The 14923-nt window shown below is 47.3% G+C and overlaps 1 protein-coding gene across 2 annotated transcripts, besides 12 other annotated features; it reads left to right on the top strand.

Annotated features, from left to right (window-relative positions):
* Positions 940 to 1440: an enhancer, noted in NCBI's record as "H3K27ac hESC enhancer chr1:234752429-234752929 (GRCh37/hg19 assembly coordinates)". NCBI's record gives its function as "activates a minimal SCP1, AML or CMV promoter by ChIP-STARR-seq in naive H9 embryonic stem cells {active_cell/tissue: H9 hESC(naive)}" and the evidence as "EXISTENCE:reporter gene assay evidence [ECO:0000049][PMID:30033119]".
* Positions 5031 to 5080: an enhancer, noted in NCBI's record as "active region_2763". NCBI's record gives its function as "activates an Ori minimal core promoter by ATAC-STARR-seq in GM12878 lymphoblastoid cells {active_cell/tissue: GM12878}" and the evidence as "EXISTENCE:reporter gene assay evidence [ECO:0000049][PMID:35858748]".
* Positions 5361 to 5420: an enhancer, noted in NCBI's record as "active region_2762". NCBI's record gives its function as "activates an Ori minimal core promoter by ATAC-STARR-seq in GM12878 lymphoblastoid cells {active_cell/tissue: GM12878}" and the evidence as "EXISTENCE:reporter gene assay evidence [ECO:0000049][PMID:35858748]".
* Positions 6721 to 7320: a silencer, noted in NCBI's record as "silent region_1981". NCBI's record gives its function as "represses an Ori minimal core promoter by ATAC-STARR-seq in GM12878 lymphoblastoid cells {active_cell/tissue: GM12878}" and the evidence as "EXISTENCE:reporter gene assay evidence [ECO:0000049][PMID:35858748]".
* Positions 7571 to 7670: an enhancer, noted in NCBI's record as "active region_2761". NCBI's record gives its function as "activates an Ori minimal core promoter by ATAC-STARR-seq in GM12878 lymphoblastoid cells {active_cell/tissue: GM12878}" and the evidence as "EXISTENCE:reporter gene assay evidence [ECO:0000049][PMID:35858748]".
* Positions 7773 to 8470: an enhancer, noted in NCBI's record as "NANOG-H3K27ac-H3K4me1 hESC enhancer chr1:234745399-234746096 (GRCh37/hg19 assembly coordinates)". NCBI's record gives its function as "activates a minimal SCP1, AML or CMV promoter by ChIP-STARR-seq in primed H9 embryonic stem cells {active_cell/tissue: H9 hESC(primed)}" and the evidence as "EXISTENCE:reporter gene assay evidence [ECO:0000049][PMID:30033119]".
* Positions 7801 to 7990: a silencer, noted in NCBI's record as "silent region_1980". NCBI's record gives its function as "represses an Ori minimal core promoter by ATAC-STARR-seq in GM12878 lymphoblastoid cells {active_cell/tissue: GM12878}" and the evidence as "EXISTENCE:reporter gene assay evidence [ECO:0000049][PMID:35858748]".
* Positions 7945 to 13854, top strand: IRF2BP2 (interferon regulatory factor 2 binding protein 2). Of its 2 annotated transcripts, none has more exons than NM_182972.3 (2): positions 7945 to 9676; positions 10271 to 13854. In NM_182972.3, the coding sequence occupies exons 1-2, from the start codon at positions 8629 to 8631 to the stop codon at positions 10984 to 10986; spliced, it is 1764 nt and encodes a 587-aa protein (NP_892017.2). In that variant the 5' UTR covers positions 7945 to 8628; the 3' UTR covers positions 10987 to 13854. The 2 variants fall into 2 exon arrangements, with proteins under 2 accessions (NP_892017.2, NP_001070865.1); NM_001077397.1 differs by having other exon boundaries at positions 8598 to 9628.
* Positions 8051 to 8150: a silencer, noted in NCBI's record as "silent region_1979". NCBI's record gives its function as "represses an Ori minimal core promoter by ATAC-STARR-seq in GM12878 lymphoblastoid cells {active_cell/tissue: GM12878}" and the evidence as "EXISTENCE:reporter gene assay evidence [ECO:0000049][PMID:35858748]".
* Positions 8531 to 8610: a silencer, noted in NCBI's record as "silent region_1978". NCBI's record gives its function as "represses an Ori minimal core promoter by ATAC-STARR-seq in GM12878 lymphoblastoid cells {active_cell/tissue: GM12878}" and the evidence as "EXISTENCE:reporter gene assay evidence [ECO:0000049][PMID:35858748]".
* Positions 8851 to 9130: a silencer, noted in NCBI's record as "silent region_1977". NCBI's record gives its function as "represses an Ori minimal core promoter by ATAC-STARR-seq in GM12878 lymphoblastoid cells {active_cell/tissue: GM12878}" and the evidence as "EXISTENCE:reporter gene assay evidence [ECO:0000049][PMID:35858748]".
* Positions 9221 to 9340: a silencer, noted in NCBI's record as "silent region_1976". NCBI's record gives its function as "represses an Ori minimal core promoter by ATAC-STARR-seq in GM12878 lymphoblastoid cells {active_cell/tissue: GM12878}" and the evidence as "EXISTENCE:reporter gene assay evidence [ECO:0000049][PMID:35858748]".
* Positions 9581 to 9760: an enhancer, noted in NCBI's record as "active region_2760". NCBI's record gives its function as "activates an Ori minimal core promoter by ATAC-STARR-seq in GM12878 lymphoblastoid cells {active_cell/tissue: GM12878}" and the evidence as "EXISTENCE:reporter gene assay evidence [ECO:0000049][PMID:35858748]".
* Positions 13855 to 14923: the final 1069 nt, after the last annotated feature.

The following is a 14923-nucleotide window of genomic DNA, read 5'->3' as shown; positions in this document are numbered from 1 at the left end:
TAGGTGAGAATCCAAAAACACCTCAAAGCAAGTTTCCATATCCTGCCGACCTACTCAGCCAAATGCCTGCCTGTGTATGAAACCGTTTTGTTTGTCTGTTTGCTTCTTCAACTGAGAGCCTCTTGAACAATCTGAATAGCCTGTGGATAGTATATTAAGTCTTTGCCCGTATATATATATGTATGCATATATGTATATATGTATATATACACGTATACACGTATATGTATGTGTATACGTGTATATATACGTATATTTACACATATACGTGTATATATACATACACACATATACATATAAAATTATATATAAACACACATACACACACATACATATATGAAATAAGGCAGTCTCTTGAGGAAAGAAAAATGCAAATATTTTCCATAAGCCCTGAGACATTGAAGTTGGGCTTATATTAATGCTGATACAGATGTTTTGCCCTGGCTAATTTAAACTAAGTATAGACCGTGGTTTAGAGTCTCCTAATCTGGGATTGAGCCCAAACCAAGCAGACACGATGTTCTCGATGATGTGATGCTCTGGTAGCCATTTAACCTCCTGACTTTATTTGGATGGCACAATGCCCCCAAATAATGGGCAGGCATTTACTGGTAGTTTTTCCGCATTGTTTTGTAATCCCATGTGGGTCAGAAGAATGTTGGGCTTGGGTTTGTCAAATTCCTGTGTATTCCCATCACCCCCACCCACCACGAGAGGTCAGAACAGAAATGACATCAAGGCCAGCACCGTCTCCTCCACTCAAGAAAAACTGGCCTAGGGTGTCCAGCTGACCTGCCTCAGGTCACATGCCAGGTGAATGAAGAGAAGCTACGGTCCCTCAGTGATCTCCTGCATAGATATTTACATGTATGCAAAAAAGAACCTATGAAGAAAATATAAATAGGAGGTAGCCCACCAGTGGGCTAAAGAAAGAACTGCAGTTTGGGAAACCTGAATTCTAACTGTCGTTTAACCACACATTTTCTTTGTTTTAAGACAGATTCCTTATTATCTTGGTGTCTCAGTTCATAAAGTGAACAGACACTGATGTTCTTAACTATTGTTAAGAATAATGAATTGGTCTGATAATGCAAAGATAGATAGATGGATAGGTAGATAGGTAGATAATTGAGAGGTAGGTAGACAGAATAAAAGCAGCCTGACAAATGTTTAAAATCCAGCTACCTGTTAAGTGCTAAAGAGAAGAGGCCTCAGGAAGTTCACATGTGTGCAGTTCCCAGGCATGTTTCAGAACCAGCTTCCTCACTCAGGAATTTGCTCGAAGGGCTGGGAGTCTTGCCACGAAGTACATCAAAGTTCATTTGTATTTGCATTTTAGCTGTCTGTGACAAGCTTTGTAGTAAACACACTACATTTAGGCAGTCACTTTGGGGAATCCATCAGTAGTCTCTTGCTAGGGCTCACATCTAGGCTGCCTACTGCATGTCTGTTTCCTTCTCCCCTGTATGAACTTCAGTTCTGAGTGTGATTCTTAATTTTCCCAGTGGTTTTGCACTCTGCCTCACAAAGAGGCATTACCATGTGGGCACAGAAATGGATGTGCCAATGCATACCGGAATTCACTCCAACTAATAAAGTACAGTCCTCAGTCAGTCTGCTCAACTTTCCTTCCTTGTGTAGGGAGCTCTCTGTGTCTCCTTTACCTACAAAAATGACCACTACTCCTCCCATGCCAAAAAACAGGTGTTGGAGAAAGAATTTTATTGTTAAATGTGTAGACCTCTGAGAGATATCATTGGAATCTGCAGTATATACATACAATAATTGTTTCAAATAACAAGCTTACTTTATTTTTTGCTGAGCCCATTAGACTAAAGTAAGTCAGTCACCAGAATAGATTAGTGAAACTCCATTGGTAAGGCCAAATTATCCTGCTGAATGGCATTGTTTTGCAAAATATATTTTCATCTTGTCAAGAGAAAGCCTAATTCATATTGGCTAATTTCTATTTCATAAGAAATACAAAACATGGCCGGGTGCAGTGGCTCACGCCTGTAATCCCAGCACTTTGGGAAGCCGAGGTGGGAGGATCATCCAAGGTCAGGAGTTTGAGACCAGCCTGGTCAACATGGCAAAACCCAGTCTCTACTAAAAAATATAAAAATTAGCCGGGTGTGGTGGCATGTGCCTGTTGTCCCAGCTACTCAGGAAGCTGAGGCAGGAGAGTCGCTTGAACCCGGGAGGTGGAGGTTGCAGTGAGCTGAGATCGCACCACTGCACTCCAGCCTGGGCGACAGAGAAAGACTCTGTTTCAAATAATAATAATAATAACAATGAAAGTTCATTGGCATACTTTATGAACAACTTGTACCCTTGCAACTGTGATATTCTATACAATGTTGTTTCACACTTTTTTCTTTTCGGTACCCTGTAGCCCATTGTATTTATTTGTCTGAGTGCAAAGTAGTCAGGATTGGACTCCTACAATTGGAATTAAATTATTTCATGAGTTTTTCCTCTTTTTAAGAAAATAGATCACAAAGAGTTGGAGGTGCAGTATTCCAACCTGGTAAGTGCCAAAACCATTTCATCACCCAACTGACTCCCACAATTGAATCTTTTATCCTAACACCAACATCAGTTTTTATCCAAGGTTCATAAAGACTAGCATAAAAATGGTGTGCCATTTAAAGAGTCCCACACTCGACATGGTGTTATAGCAACTGTGCCCTACCTCTGTCAGCTCCTTTTGTCTGTGGTGAATGTTTACTTCTCTTTGGATTGATTGTTCTATGAACTATATTAAAATTTTCCTTTTTCCTATAAATATAGGTATAGATAGCAAATCTTAACACCTTTCCTGTTAACACTCAGATGTTAACACTCCTTTGCTGGGCTCTATGCTGTGCTTACATGATTTTTAACAATGCAAAATGCAAATAGAATATTCTCGACTACATCCTCAGGCAACAGGACTCACACCTAGATATCAGTTCTGACACTTTTTTTTTTTTTTTTGAGATGGAGTCTTGCTCTGTCGCCGAGGCTGGAGTGCAGTGACACAATCTTGGCTCACTGCAACCTCCGCCTCCCGGGTTCAAGCAATTCTCCTGCCTCAGCCTCCTAAGTAGCTGGGATTACAGACACATGCCACCACGTCCGGCTAATTTTTGTATTTTTAGTAGAGATGGGGTTTCACCATGCTGGCCAGGCTGGTCTCGAACTCCTGACCTCCTGATCCACCCACTGTGGCCTCCCAAAGTGCTGGGATTACAGGCGTGAGCCACCGCGTCTGGCCTCTGACACTCACTTTTCATGTTACTTTAGGTAAGTCAGGTTTTTAGTTTCTGAAAAGGATGACAAGAGAATAGAATTTATCCTTGAAATATCTTTTTAAAATGTTCATGTGAAAGATACAGCAAATACCATGCCATCGTACTGTTCTTTAACGTTTTAGAATTATTACATTATTTGACTTTTTCAGTTCTTATGCTATGGAATGTGTATGTAGGAAATGTACATTTTTTAATAGAAAAGCTAAGAAGGGAAAATTTACCATTTTTATATTTTCAAACATTATCTGTGAAGTTAATTCATTATTTTGTCAACATCTTCCTACTGATATCTTTCAAAGGGCTTCAGTGAGTGTTTTAAATATTCTAAGTTAAACCCACATCCAGATATTCCAGAAAAGTGCATTTCATCCTGCTTTTTCCAAAAAGTCAATAGGAGGTTTACTGGCATCAAATGGCTGTTGAATCCCTTCCAGTTCTACAAATTTCCTTGCAGACTGAGCAAGTGTGTGACCTCAATCTCTCCTTTGTCTATTTTGTCTGTTTCTCACTTAGCTCTTTAAATTCTGACACAGTGAGTATTTAACCTTCATCAAGATCCCAAATTTTGCTCTAAATAGGGACCTATACATACGTTGACATATAGGCTGCCGACTAACAGCTTCTGTGTACAATATGTGGATGATTAAGAGCTCCTGTGATTTTATCTGGCTTGATTCTTAGACCCTCCACAGAGAGTTTATCTCCTCCACATGCAAAAGTCTCTTTAATATCTGTATGCTCTGTGCACAGGGGAGGTAGGCTATAGAGAGAGGTCAAACAGAGGGAAAGTATTTCTAAAAAAGAATATTTGCAATTTGAAAAACAGTAAGATTGTCTCATAAAATGCTGTTACTAAGAAGGAAGACTCTCATATCAATTACAGAAGGTTCATTTATGTCATGGTGCTCCATAGTATGTGTAGATATATTCATATAAACAAATGTGTTCAAATATATATAACTTATTTAAAAAATTGGAAAAGCCCTGAATATCACGTGTGCTCTTCAAACCTTACGACACTTTTGCCAAAGCTGAAGAAACCCGCAATGATGTCCACAGAAATCCAGATGAAATGTGGCTGCATTTTTTCTCTTCTTCAAATACGCCAAGATCAGAGTTTAAGAAGCTTTAGCATGGTTGCAACATCATGCTATTTAAGGAAACTGCACTCTAAAGAATGAAGGCTGTGATTCCACCTCTGGATAGAGGGTGAAAGCCACGAACTCAGCAGTTCCTAGGAATACCATCTATCTCCTGGACAGCACCCACAAGCTGCTGGGGGAATGGGGTTGCACCCCTCTTGCAGCTGCATAACCTGGGGGCAAAGTTCCAATAAGGTACTCTTGTAGGAACCGTTTCTTTACACTGCTCTATAGACTGTCAGTTCAGGGCTTCCGTGTGTTAATAGCTGCTTGACTGGAGTAAGCTCTGGAAACCAGATTCAGATTTTAGATGTTTAACGTTCACGCAGTAGAAGCCCGTTTCAATCTCAGTGTCGGAAGGTCACATTAGTTCTACCCATTGAGCTATCGCTTACAACTGCTCTCTTAGGTTTGCCTTCCAAGCCACTTCCTTATTCCTGCTTTTCTGATAGTGTCATACTGAATGGCTTTCCTTTTACTCCTACACTGTGATTTTTATTTAAAAAAAAAAACAACTCTCAGAAATTAGAGCTGGAAAGGACTGTTGGTTTGTCTAGTCTCAGCAGGAGTGTTCTCCATAGAATATTTCCTTTAGTCCTTAAGACAAATTGCAACATTTTAGTGTTCTGGTGAAAAGCCAGCCTCATCCCGCTGCGTCGCCGACACTTGGCCCAGCATCTGCCTGCCTGTCCGTATATGAATGTGCAGGAGCACACTGCAGCCAACCCGGTAACCTTGACTCTGGGTGGCAAAGATGATCATAATTCTCTTTTGAGAGGACCTGGTGCCTCAAGCAAGAGGGCAGAGTCTACGTGACTAAAACATACCAACTTCCTCTTTCATAAGTCATCACATGATGAACTACAATTACAATTCCTGCCTTGTCTCTGCGAATTGCAGACGCATTGCCTCACCCTAGAAACCCTGCTCCTGTGTGTGGAGGAGGCGGCTGTAACTGCTGCAGCAGCCGCTTTGGATGGGATCCAACTCCAGTCTGTGCCGGGAGGGAGCGGTGGGTGGAAGACAAAAACAAAGCTATGTTTACTTAGCATACATCGATAAAGCTGCTTCAGAGCTACATGAAAGGCCAGGCTGCATGAAAGACTTCTGATACAATATAAGGAATTGCTGCCCTGAATCCAGCCTTAACCCCCTTGATTCCGGATCGAGCCCAGAACTAAAATAGCCCTTCCATTTTCCATCGGGCATTTCATTAGGGAAGTTACAACAACTCAGTTTCGACATGAAACTGGCAGTGTAAAATAAGAAGGAAATGCTCTTCCTTTGGAGAAGAAAAGCTCCGTTTTGCAAAGATCTTAGTATCGTGGCAGAATTTCTATCTCTAATTCTATTTTAGGATGGAGTGGCAGGCTCTCCCCTTGAGGCCATTACAGTACCAGCTTGCAGAGAAATGAGTATAATTAGGCCACAACTCTAATGGTGAGTTGTGTTTTCTTTTAGTATGTTTCAGTCAATGCTTAGTGGGGCCGTCTCTTGGGGGCGATGAGTTGGTTCATTTCTCTGCAGCACAAGGACTGGACTTCATCCCCTTTGGGCAGTGACGCAGTGGGTGAAGGCATGTACTGGAATGAGTGTCACAGGGTCTCTGAGGAGGGTGACCAAAGGGACAGGTCTTGAAAGCGGTGTGCAACAGCAGGGCCTGGGAGTGACCAAACCCGCTGGCACCAGCTACTCCCGGGAAGGATCTGGACAGGCCCCATTCTCCCAGCTTGGAGAGGGTGAGGCAGGATTGCAATTGCAGGGCAAGATCCAGGAACAGATGCAGAGACCTTTAAAACAGGCGCACCTTCTATGGAAATCCCCAAAAGACATTCAAGGTTAGCCTGTAAAAACATTTAGGTCTGACATTACGTTTTCTGTGCCATTTTCGAACAGGTTTTTTCATGTGTTTTAAGCAGCTCCCTCCACTGTTTCTCTAAGGGTGTTTTTCCTCTTCCTTGTGGTTAATCCTTTGAAGCAACCTGGTATTTTCAATAGCAACGACTAGAGAGAAACGTCAGCATGATTTTTTTTTTCTCTCCACCTACCAATCCAGTTGTAGGAAAGATAATATAATTAGTACCCTGTTCTTCCCACACTTAACCAGCTCATTCCAGTCTCAAGGGAGAGTTGTGGGCCTGTGTTCCCAACAAAAGCAGCTCCAGAGGCCGCCCTTAAAGAGCTTAAGTGTAAAAGTCCCAATTGAAGAGCGACTAAGCCTACGTGTATTAGGGAGACTAACGACCAGCCCAAAGTGATTTACCATAACACACACTAGCTCCTCCTCCCGATAAAAGTGCGAAACTCAAACATTCAATTCAGTCTGGGCTGAGTCTGAGGCTGCCAACGGTGGCAGACCTGCAGGCCGGGCTCATCCCGGCCTGGGTGGCATATAGGGCAAAAGTCCGCCTCCGTCGGCGGCCCGCCCTGCGGGACGGCGGGCCAGCCAGCCAGCCGGTCGCCCCCACGGCCCTCGGGAACCTCGCGGAGGCGAGCAGGACCCCCCCCCCCCCCACTCGCGCCCTCGCCTCCCGCCACCTCGAGTCCAAGTTCGGGCCCGGGGGCGGCGCCTCGACGCCCAGACTCGCCGAAGGGGGTGGAGCCTGCGCTGTGACGCGGCCGCGCTGGCCGTAGACCCCGGATCCCTGGAATGTGCATTCGTTCCACGAGGCCCTAGTGCCAGCGGCGCCGAGGCACGTCTGCGCGGAGCGTGCGCACTCGCGGCGGCGGCCGCCCACGGCCCCGCGCCCACGTCACGCGCCCGCCGCGCATACCTACATAAGGCAGCCGGGGCGACTGGCGCGGCGAGGCCCCCGATGAACAGGGCGGGCTGGACGGGGCTAAGAGCGGCACTTGGTGTTCGGGAGAGGCTAGTCCGAACCGCGCTCCCTCCCCTCCAGAGGGCTCCGTGGAAAACGCGCGAGCCAGCTGGCGGCGTGTGCACGTGGTGCTGGGCTTGGGAATATTCACAGTCTCCCTAGTTAGTAAAAGGGACAGGCGGGGCGTATGTCCTTTCCAAGACAAATGCAAAGCACCAGTGACGGATTTCATGCTATGTGTCCGACATTGAGCTTTCAAGTATAACTCCTAAAAAACCAGAACTGTGAACCACGCTAGACCTAAATTCCCCATTCTCAGGAGACTGACGGAAACCAAGTGACAAAGTGTCCTTGCATAAAAGAAAAAAAATGATTTTTAGCACGATTTGGCCCAGAGGCACACCAGAGGAAAACATCCTGAGGGTGGTCGGGACAGCCGGGTGGGGCGCGAAGTGAGGGAAAGTGGAGGAAAAGCACTCGATCACTTTGCGCGGTGTTCCGAAGGGAACACCGGCGCTGCGCTGCTGCGCTGCCCCGCGGGCGGGCGGGCGCCGCGTAGCCGGCTCTCCCGGCAGCGCTCCTTCGGCGCGCGGGGGGAGGGGGAGCGCGCGCGCGGGAGGGCGGGCACGCGCACGAGGGGAGGGGGCCCGCGCAGGCGCCGTGCGAGACTGTCGAAGAATCAAGTCTGTAGAAGTGGAGCGGTCGCGGCGGCAGCAGCAGCAGCGACGGTGGCGGCGGCGGAGCTGAGGCGGGCTGGCCGCTGACGCTGGCGCTGGAGAGCGGCGACGCCAGGAGCTGTGAGAGAGCGGCGGAGCGACCCGGGGCCCGCGCCGCGCCCGAGCTCCACGCCGCCCGGCCGCCGCCACCCCGGCGCGGCATGCCCCGCCGCTCGGGCTGAGCCTGCCCCGGCGGCCGCCCCCCGCCCCCTGCCCCCCCGGCCTCCCCGCCCCCCGCCCCGCACTCCGTGCCGGCCGCCGCCGCGACCTGCTGCGCTCCCCCGCGCCCGCGCGGCCCGTCTTCGCCCCGGTCTGGAGGCCCGCCGCGGCTCCGGCCGAGCCCCCACCGCCGCGCCCGCCGCCCCGCCGCGCCGCGCCGCCCGCCCGTGCCCGGGCCGGCCGGGGGGAACTGCTGCCGCGGCTGCAGCCCCTCACCTCGCGCCCGCCGCCCCTCGTGCACCGGGGGCGCTGCGCGGGCGCCGAGCCTTCGCGGGCTTTGCCGCCGCCGCCGCCGCCTTTGCGGCCGCCGCCGCCGCTGGTGGGGGAGACGCGGGGTTGGGGGGGGAGGAGGGCGCGCGTGGTGCCGGTGGGGGGCGGCGGCGGCGCCCCCTCCTCCTCCTCCGCCTCCTCCTCCGGCGTCGCGGGCTCCTCGGACATGGCCGCGGCGGTGGCGGTGGCGGCCGCGTCCCGGCGGCAGTCGTGCTACCTGTGTGACCTGCCCCGCATGCCCTGGGCCATGATCTGGGACTTCACCGAACCCGTCTGCCGCGGCTGCGTCAACTACGAGGGCGCCGACCGCGTCGAGTTCGTCATCGAGACGGCGCGGCAGCTCAAGCGGGCGCACGGCTGCTTCCCGGAGGGTCGCTCCCCACCCGGCGCCGCGGCCTCGGCCGCCGCCAAGCCGCCGCCGCTCTCCGCCAAGGACATCCTTTTGCAGCAGCAGCAGCAGCTTGGCCACGGCGGCCCCGAGGCGGCCCCGCGCGCGCCGCAGGCCTTGGAGCGCTACCCGTTGGCGGCCGCGGCCGAGAGGCCCCCGCGCCTCGGCTCTGACTTCGGCAGCAGCCGCCCGGCAGCGAGCCTGGCCCAGCCGCCGACGCCGCAGCCGCCGCCCGTGAACGGCATCCTGGTGCCCAACGGCTTCTCCAAGCTAGAGGAGCCGCCCGAGCTGAATCGCCAGAGCCCGAACCCGCGGCGCGGCCACGCGGTGCCGCCCACCCTGGTGCCGCTCATGAACGGCTCGGCCACGCCGCTGCCCACCGCGCTCGGCCTCGGCGGCCGCGCTGCCGCCTCCTTAGCCGCGGTGTCCGGAACCGCGGCCGCCAGCCTGGGCTCCGCGCAGCCCACCGATCTGGGCGCCCACAAGCGGCCGGCATCCGTGTCGAGCAGCGCTGCCGTGGAGCACGAGCAGCGTGAGGCGGCAGCCAAGGAGAAACAACCGCCGCCGCCTGCGCACCGGGGCCCGGCCGACAGCCTGTCCACCGCGGCCGGGGCCGCCGAGCTGAGCGCGGAAGGTGCGGGCAAGAGCCGCGGGTCTGGAGAGCAGGACTGGGTCAACAGGCCCAAGACCGTGCGCGACACGCTGCTGGCGCTGCACCAGCACGGCCACTCGGGGCCCTTCGAGAGCAAGTTTAAGAAGGAGCCGGCCCTGACTGCAGGCAGGTTGTTGGGTTTCGAGGCCAACGGGGCCAACGGGTCTAAAGCAGGTAGGGGCGGCTGTGAAGTGAGGGGGTCTAGGGGAGAAAAGGGGACGGAGAGCAGAGGAAGGGTGGTTCTTTGGATTCACCATTTTACCCCAGCCCAGAAACAACAAACACCCCACTTCCTGATCTGCCTGAGGCGGAACCAGTGCTTGGTGGCAACGTGTTCATGTGCTGAAGCAGCATAACAGAGATGAGTCAGACTGGGCTGATACGCTCTGACACGGGGTTTTCCTTTCCCAGCACATTCTTGGATGGGAGCATGAGGGCACCAGTCACCTTTTAACCTATTGGGGGACATTAGCAGTCACATGTTGAGTGCAAACGAGGGTACTTTTGTGCATGTGTACAAACAGGCAGTTACAAGCGTGTCATTTTCAGTGGCTCCATTTTAAATCAGTCTGCTGCCTCAGAATCCCGTACGCCTGAAGGTTTTAAGTTGCATGTGCACCTGAAACTCGTATATGAGTATTTTCTGTCTGTGCTTTTAGAGAGGAGGAATTCTGTAACGACTTTTGTTTCGGGTTAGGAAGAGAATGATCTCTTTCAGTGCACCGCCACTTATGTTACCTTTTTCCTTTTATTTCTTTGTGTTTCCAGTTGCAAGAACAGCAAGGAAAAGGAAGCCCTCTCCAGAACCAGAAGGTGAAGTCGGGCCCCCTAAGATCAACGGAGAGGCCCAGCCGTGGCTGTCCACATCCACAGAGGGGCTCAAGATCCCCATGACTCCTACATCCTCTTTTGTGTCTCCGCCACCACCCACTGCCTCACCTCATTCCAACCGGACCACACCGCCTGAAGCGGCCCAGAATGGCCAGTCCCCCATGGCAGCCCTGATCTTAGTAGCAGACAATGCAGGGGGCAGTCATGCCTCAAAAGATGCCAACCAGGTTCACTCCACTACCAGGAGGAATAGCAACAGTCCGCCCTCTCCGTCCTCTATGAACCAAAGAAGGCTGGGCCCCAGAGAGGTGGGGGGCCAGGGAGCAGGCAACACAGGAGGACTGGAGCCAGTGCACCCTGCCAGCCTCCCGGACTCCTCTCTGGCAACCAGTGCCCCGCTGTGCTGCACCCTCTGCCACGAGCGGCTGGAGGACACCCATTTTGTGCAGTGCCCGTCCGTCCCTTCGCACAAGTTCTGCTTCCCTTGCTCCAGACAAAGCATCAAACAGCAGGGAGCTAGTGGAGAGGTCTATTGTCCCAGTGGGGAAAAATGCCCTCTTGTGGGCTCCAATGTCCCCTGGGCCTTTATGCAAGGGGAAATTGCAACCATCCTTGCTGGAGATGTGAAAGTGAAAAAAGAGAGAGACTCGTGACTTTTCCGGTTTCAGAAAAACCCAATGATTACCCTTAATTAAAACTGCTTGAATTGTATATATATCTCCATATATATATATATCCAAGACAAGGGAAATGTAGACTTCATAAACATGGCTGTATAATTTTGATTTTTTTTGAATACATTGTGTTTCTATATTTTTTTTGACGACAAAAGGTATGTACTTATAAAGACATTTTTTTCTTTTGTTAACGTTATTAGCATATCTTTGTGCTTTATTATCCTGGTGACAGTTACCGTTCTATGTAGGCTGTGACTTGCGCTGCTTTTTTAGAGCACTTGGCAAATCAGAAATGCTTCTAGCTGTATTTGTATGCACTTATTTTAAAAAGAAAAAAAAAGCCAAATACATTTTCTGACATTGTAAGATTGCCTTACTGTCTGTCATTCCTTATTGCTGGCCCCTTTCTCAGGCCGGAGGCCAAGTGGTGGAGAAGGAAAGGAAATGATCGAACGGGCATGTTGTCAAGTGGGCATGCCACTGGGAAATACCACCAGTTTACCCTGAAACATTGTCCTCAGAGGAGTAGGAAAGTGGATTTTGAATCTCTATTTTGCTCAAAAGTTCAGTTCCTGAGATACTGATGACTGAGAGTGCTGCTGGGAAATTTTCAGGATTGTGTGGTCTTTTGGGGTTTTTTGTTTTTTTTTTTTTAAGACAAAGTTGACCGCTGTTCACTGTCCACGTGATCAGTTGTAAGATTACAATGCTGCATGCTAGTTGGTTACATAAGATACAATTCCAGTGATGGAAGGCGGTTATAATGGATGGTGGTGTGTACAAGATGGCACTGCCATCTTTGAGCAGAGCCCAGCTCTGCAGCGCCACTTCATCTTTTTAAACACCCTAGAGGTCTGTTTGTTGTTGCTGTTGTCCTTTATTTTGAAAGAGTTGCAAGAGAAGTTACAGTCCAGGTGAACTTGGAGATTGTGGGATTGGTTTTGTTTCTGTTTTGTTTTGTTTATCATTTACCTGTAGTGCTATTGCTGTTGATACTATCACCTATACCCTGTTTCTAGTGAGTGCTGAATACAGTATGGTACAATGACAGTAACAGCCGCGTGGTGCTGCCAGGACTGCCCTTGGGCATATCAGTGACAGCCCAAATGTGGGTGGAGGAAACCTGTAATTTCCTTCTTAACATGTGTTTGAAATACCAAGTGAATAATACTGTTCTGGAAAAAAATGATAAACTAGTGGAAATTAAAGAAATTAAGGGTTTTATATAATAGACAGGCCCCACCTCTCAAAATATTTTTAGAAGTCTTTTTGTAAACTAATTTCTTTTGATCACTATTTTGCATCAGTAAAATGATTTTTTTAAAACCAATAAATCATCAATTATTAGAAATAGTTGTCTCACAGTGATACTGGTTTTTCTTTTGTGCTGTTATGATTTAACATTGACAGGAACACTATTTTAAATCCTTACGTTCAGGTGTTTGTAACTTGGCCTTATAATTAGGCTGAATTATGGCTTCAAGGTCTACAATTTATGTGTATGGTTCACAGCCTAGCTTCTATTTACATTTGAAAATACAGATTTTTACCAACTTTGGATTCTTTTTTAGTTATATGTTTGTCTTTCCTTTTTAAATTGTTCAAAACTATTTTTTAATGGTCAAGTTACTAACACTTGAAAATCAGATACTGCACCAAATACAGTGTTTTTCCGTAGTGTTTTTAATGAGTGCACCTATTACTACTGTGCGAGAATTCATGTTTTACCAGTCATTGTTATATTACAAACAGACTTGCATGATTAACCAGTTGTTACACTTACTTTTTCAAGTTGGAGTATATATGACTCAGTGCAGACTGGTCTCTCTTATGTGAATGCACACATGCAGAAATGCAGAGTCAATTTTACATGCCCATAAAGACATTTGTAAAGAATTCAGCTCTTATGGTCTGTTGTATAAATGTGTATCTAGGCACTTTGGAATTTGACCTCACAGATGTTACAACTTGATCAGTCGTTTGACCTAATTTGTGGTAGCTATCTGTATGTTTTGCAATCTTAATACAGACATGCTTTCCAAAAAGATTAATACAGAACCATCCTGCCGTTTTGGATAAGTCTATCCAGCTGTGGAAAGGGCAACCTGTGGTTTCTCTGTACTGGTGTTTAATGGGGGAAGAATATGAACAGCTTTAAAGAGCTGTGTATTGTGGTTACTACTATTAAAAAATAAGATCTGCACGAGTCTGACTGGCCTTTGGGTGGCCTTTGTGGACGGCTCGTAGCTGGAAAGTGTTGATCTGGGTTTTCTGGCATTCTTTTAAGTTAAAAAGTTAACATCGGGACATGGGTTTGATCTTTTGTTGTACCTGATGACAGTGCAGAGATTCTCCACAGCTGGATAAAAATGTCACAAAGCTACTTACTGTACATGGGCAGTATCAGATTTCAAATCCTAATATTTCAGCTGTGCTTTTAATACTCAAAATATTAGGGGATGGGGTGTTGAAGCTTTCCCTTTTTTGCTTTTAACAATTTATAGAATTTAACAGATGTACTGTCTTTCATGTGGCCTCACATTTAAAGTTATGAGAACATACACATGGTTTACAACTTTTACTATATACCTTTCCTTGGCCACCAAGTATTTTAAAAGTGTGCCACCTTTTAACCTTTACTTTTTTTAAGTTGAAGGTGATACTTTTTCTATATATGATGAAACTCATGTCAACTGAAGTGAGTGTAATCTCAGATACCAACATTATTATATTTTAAAATCACGCTATGGAAATATCACCTGAATTCTGTCATTTGTCAGATTTACAGTACCTTTTTTTCTTTAACTTTTAGCATTAAATAAAAATAAAATTGGGAGCACTGAACATTTTCTGAGGCCTTTTTTAATTTTCTAAAGCAAGCTTAGAATGGCTATTGTTTTAATCACTAATGGCAATGTGACTAAAGGATGTGTGGGTTTGGGGTTGGGGTTTGCCTGAACTTCAGGAGATAAAAGACATGGAACAAAAAGGCAACTGATGGTATAAAATAGAAGTGCCAGGGACTGCGGAAAGGGCAACTGGATAGGGGACACAGATAAAAGAGCTGAACAAAGTACGGCTAGAAAGCATTTGTTTATTTTTCAACTAGCAGCAGAACCAGCCATTCTGCAATGGTAGATTGGAAAGAGAAGATAGTGACGACACTGGAAAGACTCTCAAGACCTGGAGCTGCTCTTTGAAAAGCTTTGGAATAAAACAGCTACGTTGGGCCATAGGAAATGCGCTAAAGACAAAAGGGATTTAAAAAAAAAAAAAGCCTTATACTTTGGAAAGCTTAGGAATGAAAAAAGCCAAAGCCATGTATGAGCTTTATTGATATCCTGAAACTTAAATTTATAAATAGAGATAAAAGGTAGAAAGCACTGAGACACATTTTACTGGCTACTCTCATATAATAAGAAATTTCCTAGATGTTGCAGCTTTTACTCTTTTTATTGATTAATGGCTTGGCAGACTTCTCTATGAAAGGAAGTTGTGAAACTCATAAAGAGTTGGAGGCTAGGATATACATAGAGTTACTATATGTTTTAAATTAAACAGCAACAGTGAATGTGTACTTGAATATATTTACACTAGGGTGGTCTGGTAACTAGGAGGGGCCCATCACTATATATATTTTAATAGTTTTTCATTATTAGTCCATTTAAGGTTTTCAAGAAACCATATTCTTAGCAAGTTACAGATGATAAACAATTTTTCATGTAATAACTAGGTTAAAAGAAATAGGATGAACTATGTTTTTGTAACAAAAATGCTAAATTTTATTTTTAGTGAAATTGAAAATAGTGCAGCTTGTAGAAGTAATTCTCAACATTTCAAAACCTCTTCCCAAAGATATACTTTAATGACTGCATTTCGTTTTCAGTTAAGAAAACAAACCAGACTCTTGATG

Source organism: Homo sapiens, chromosome 1 (assembly GCF_000001405.40).
Source record: "Homo sapiens chromosome 1, GRCh38.p14 Primary Assembly".
Taxonomy (NCBI): domain Eukaryota; kingdom Metazoa; phylum Chordata; class Mammalia; order Primates; family Hominidae; genus Homo; species Homo sapiens.
This window is presented reverse-complemented; position numbering and strand designations above follow the sequence as displayed.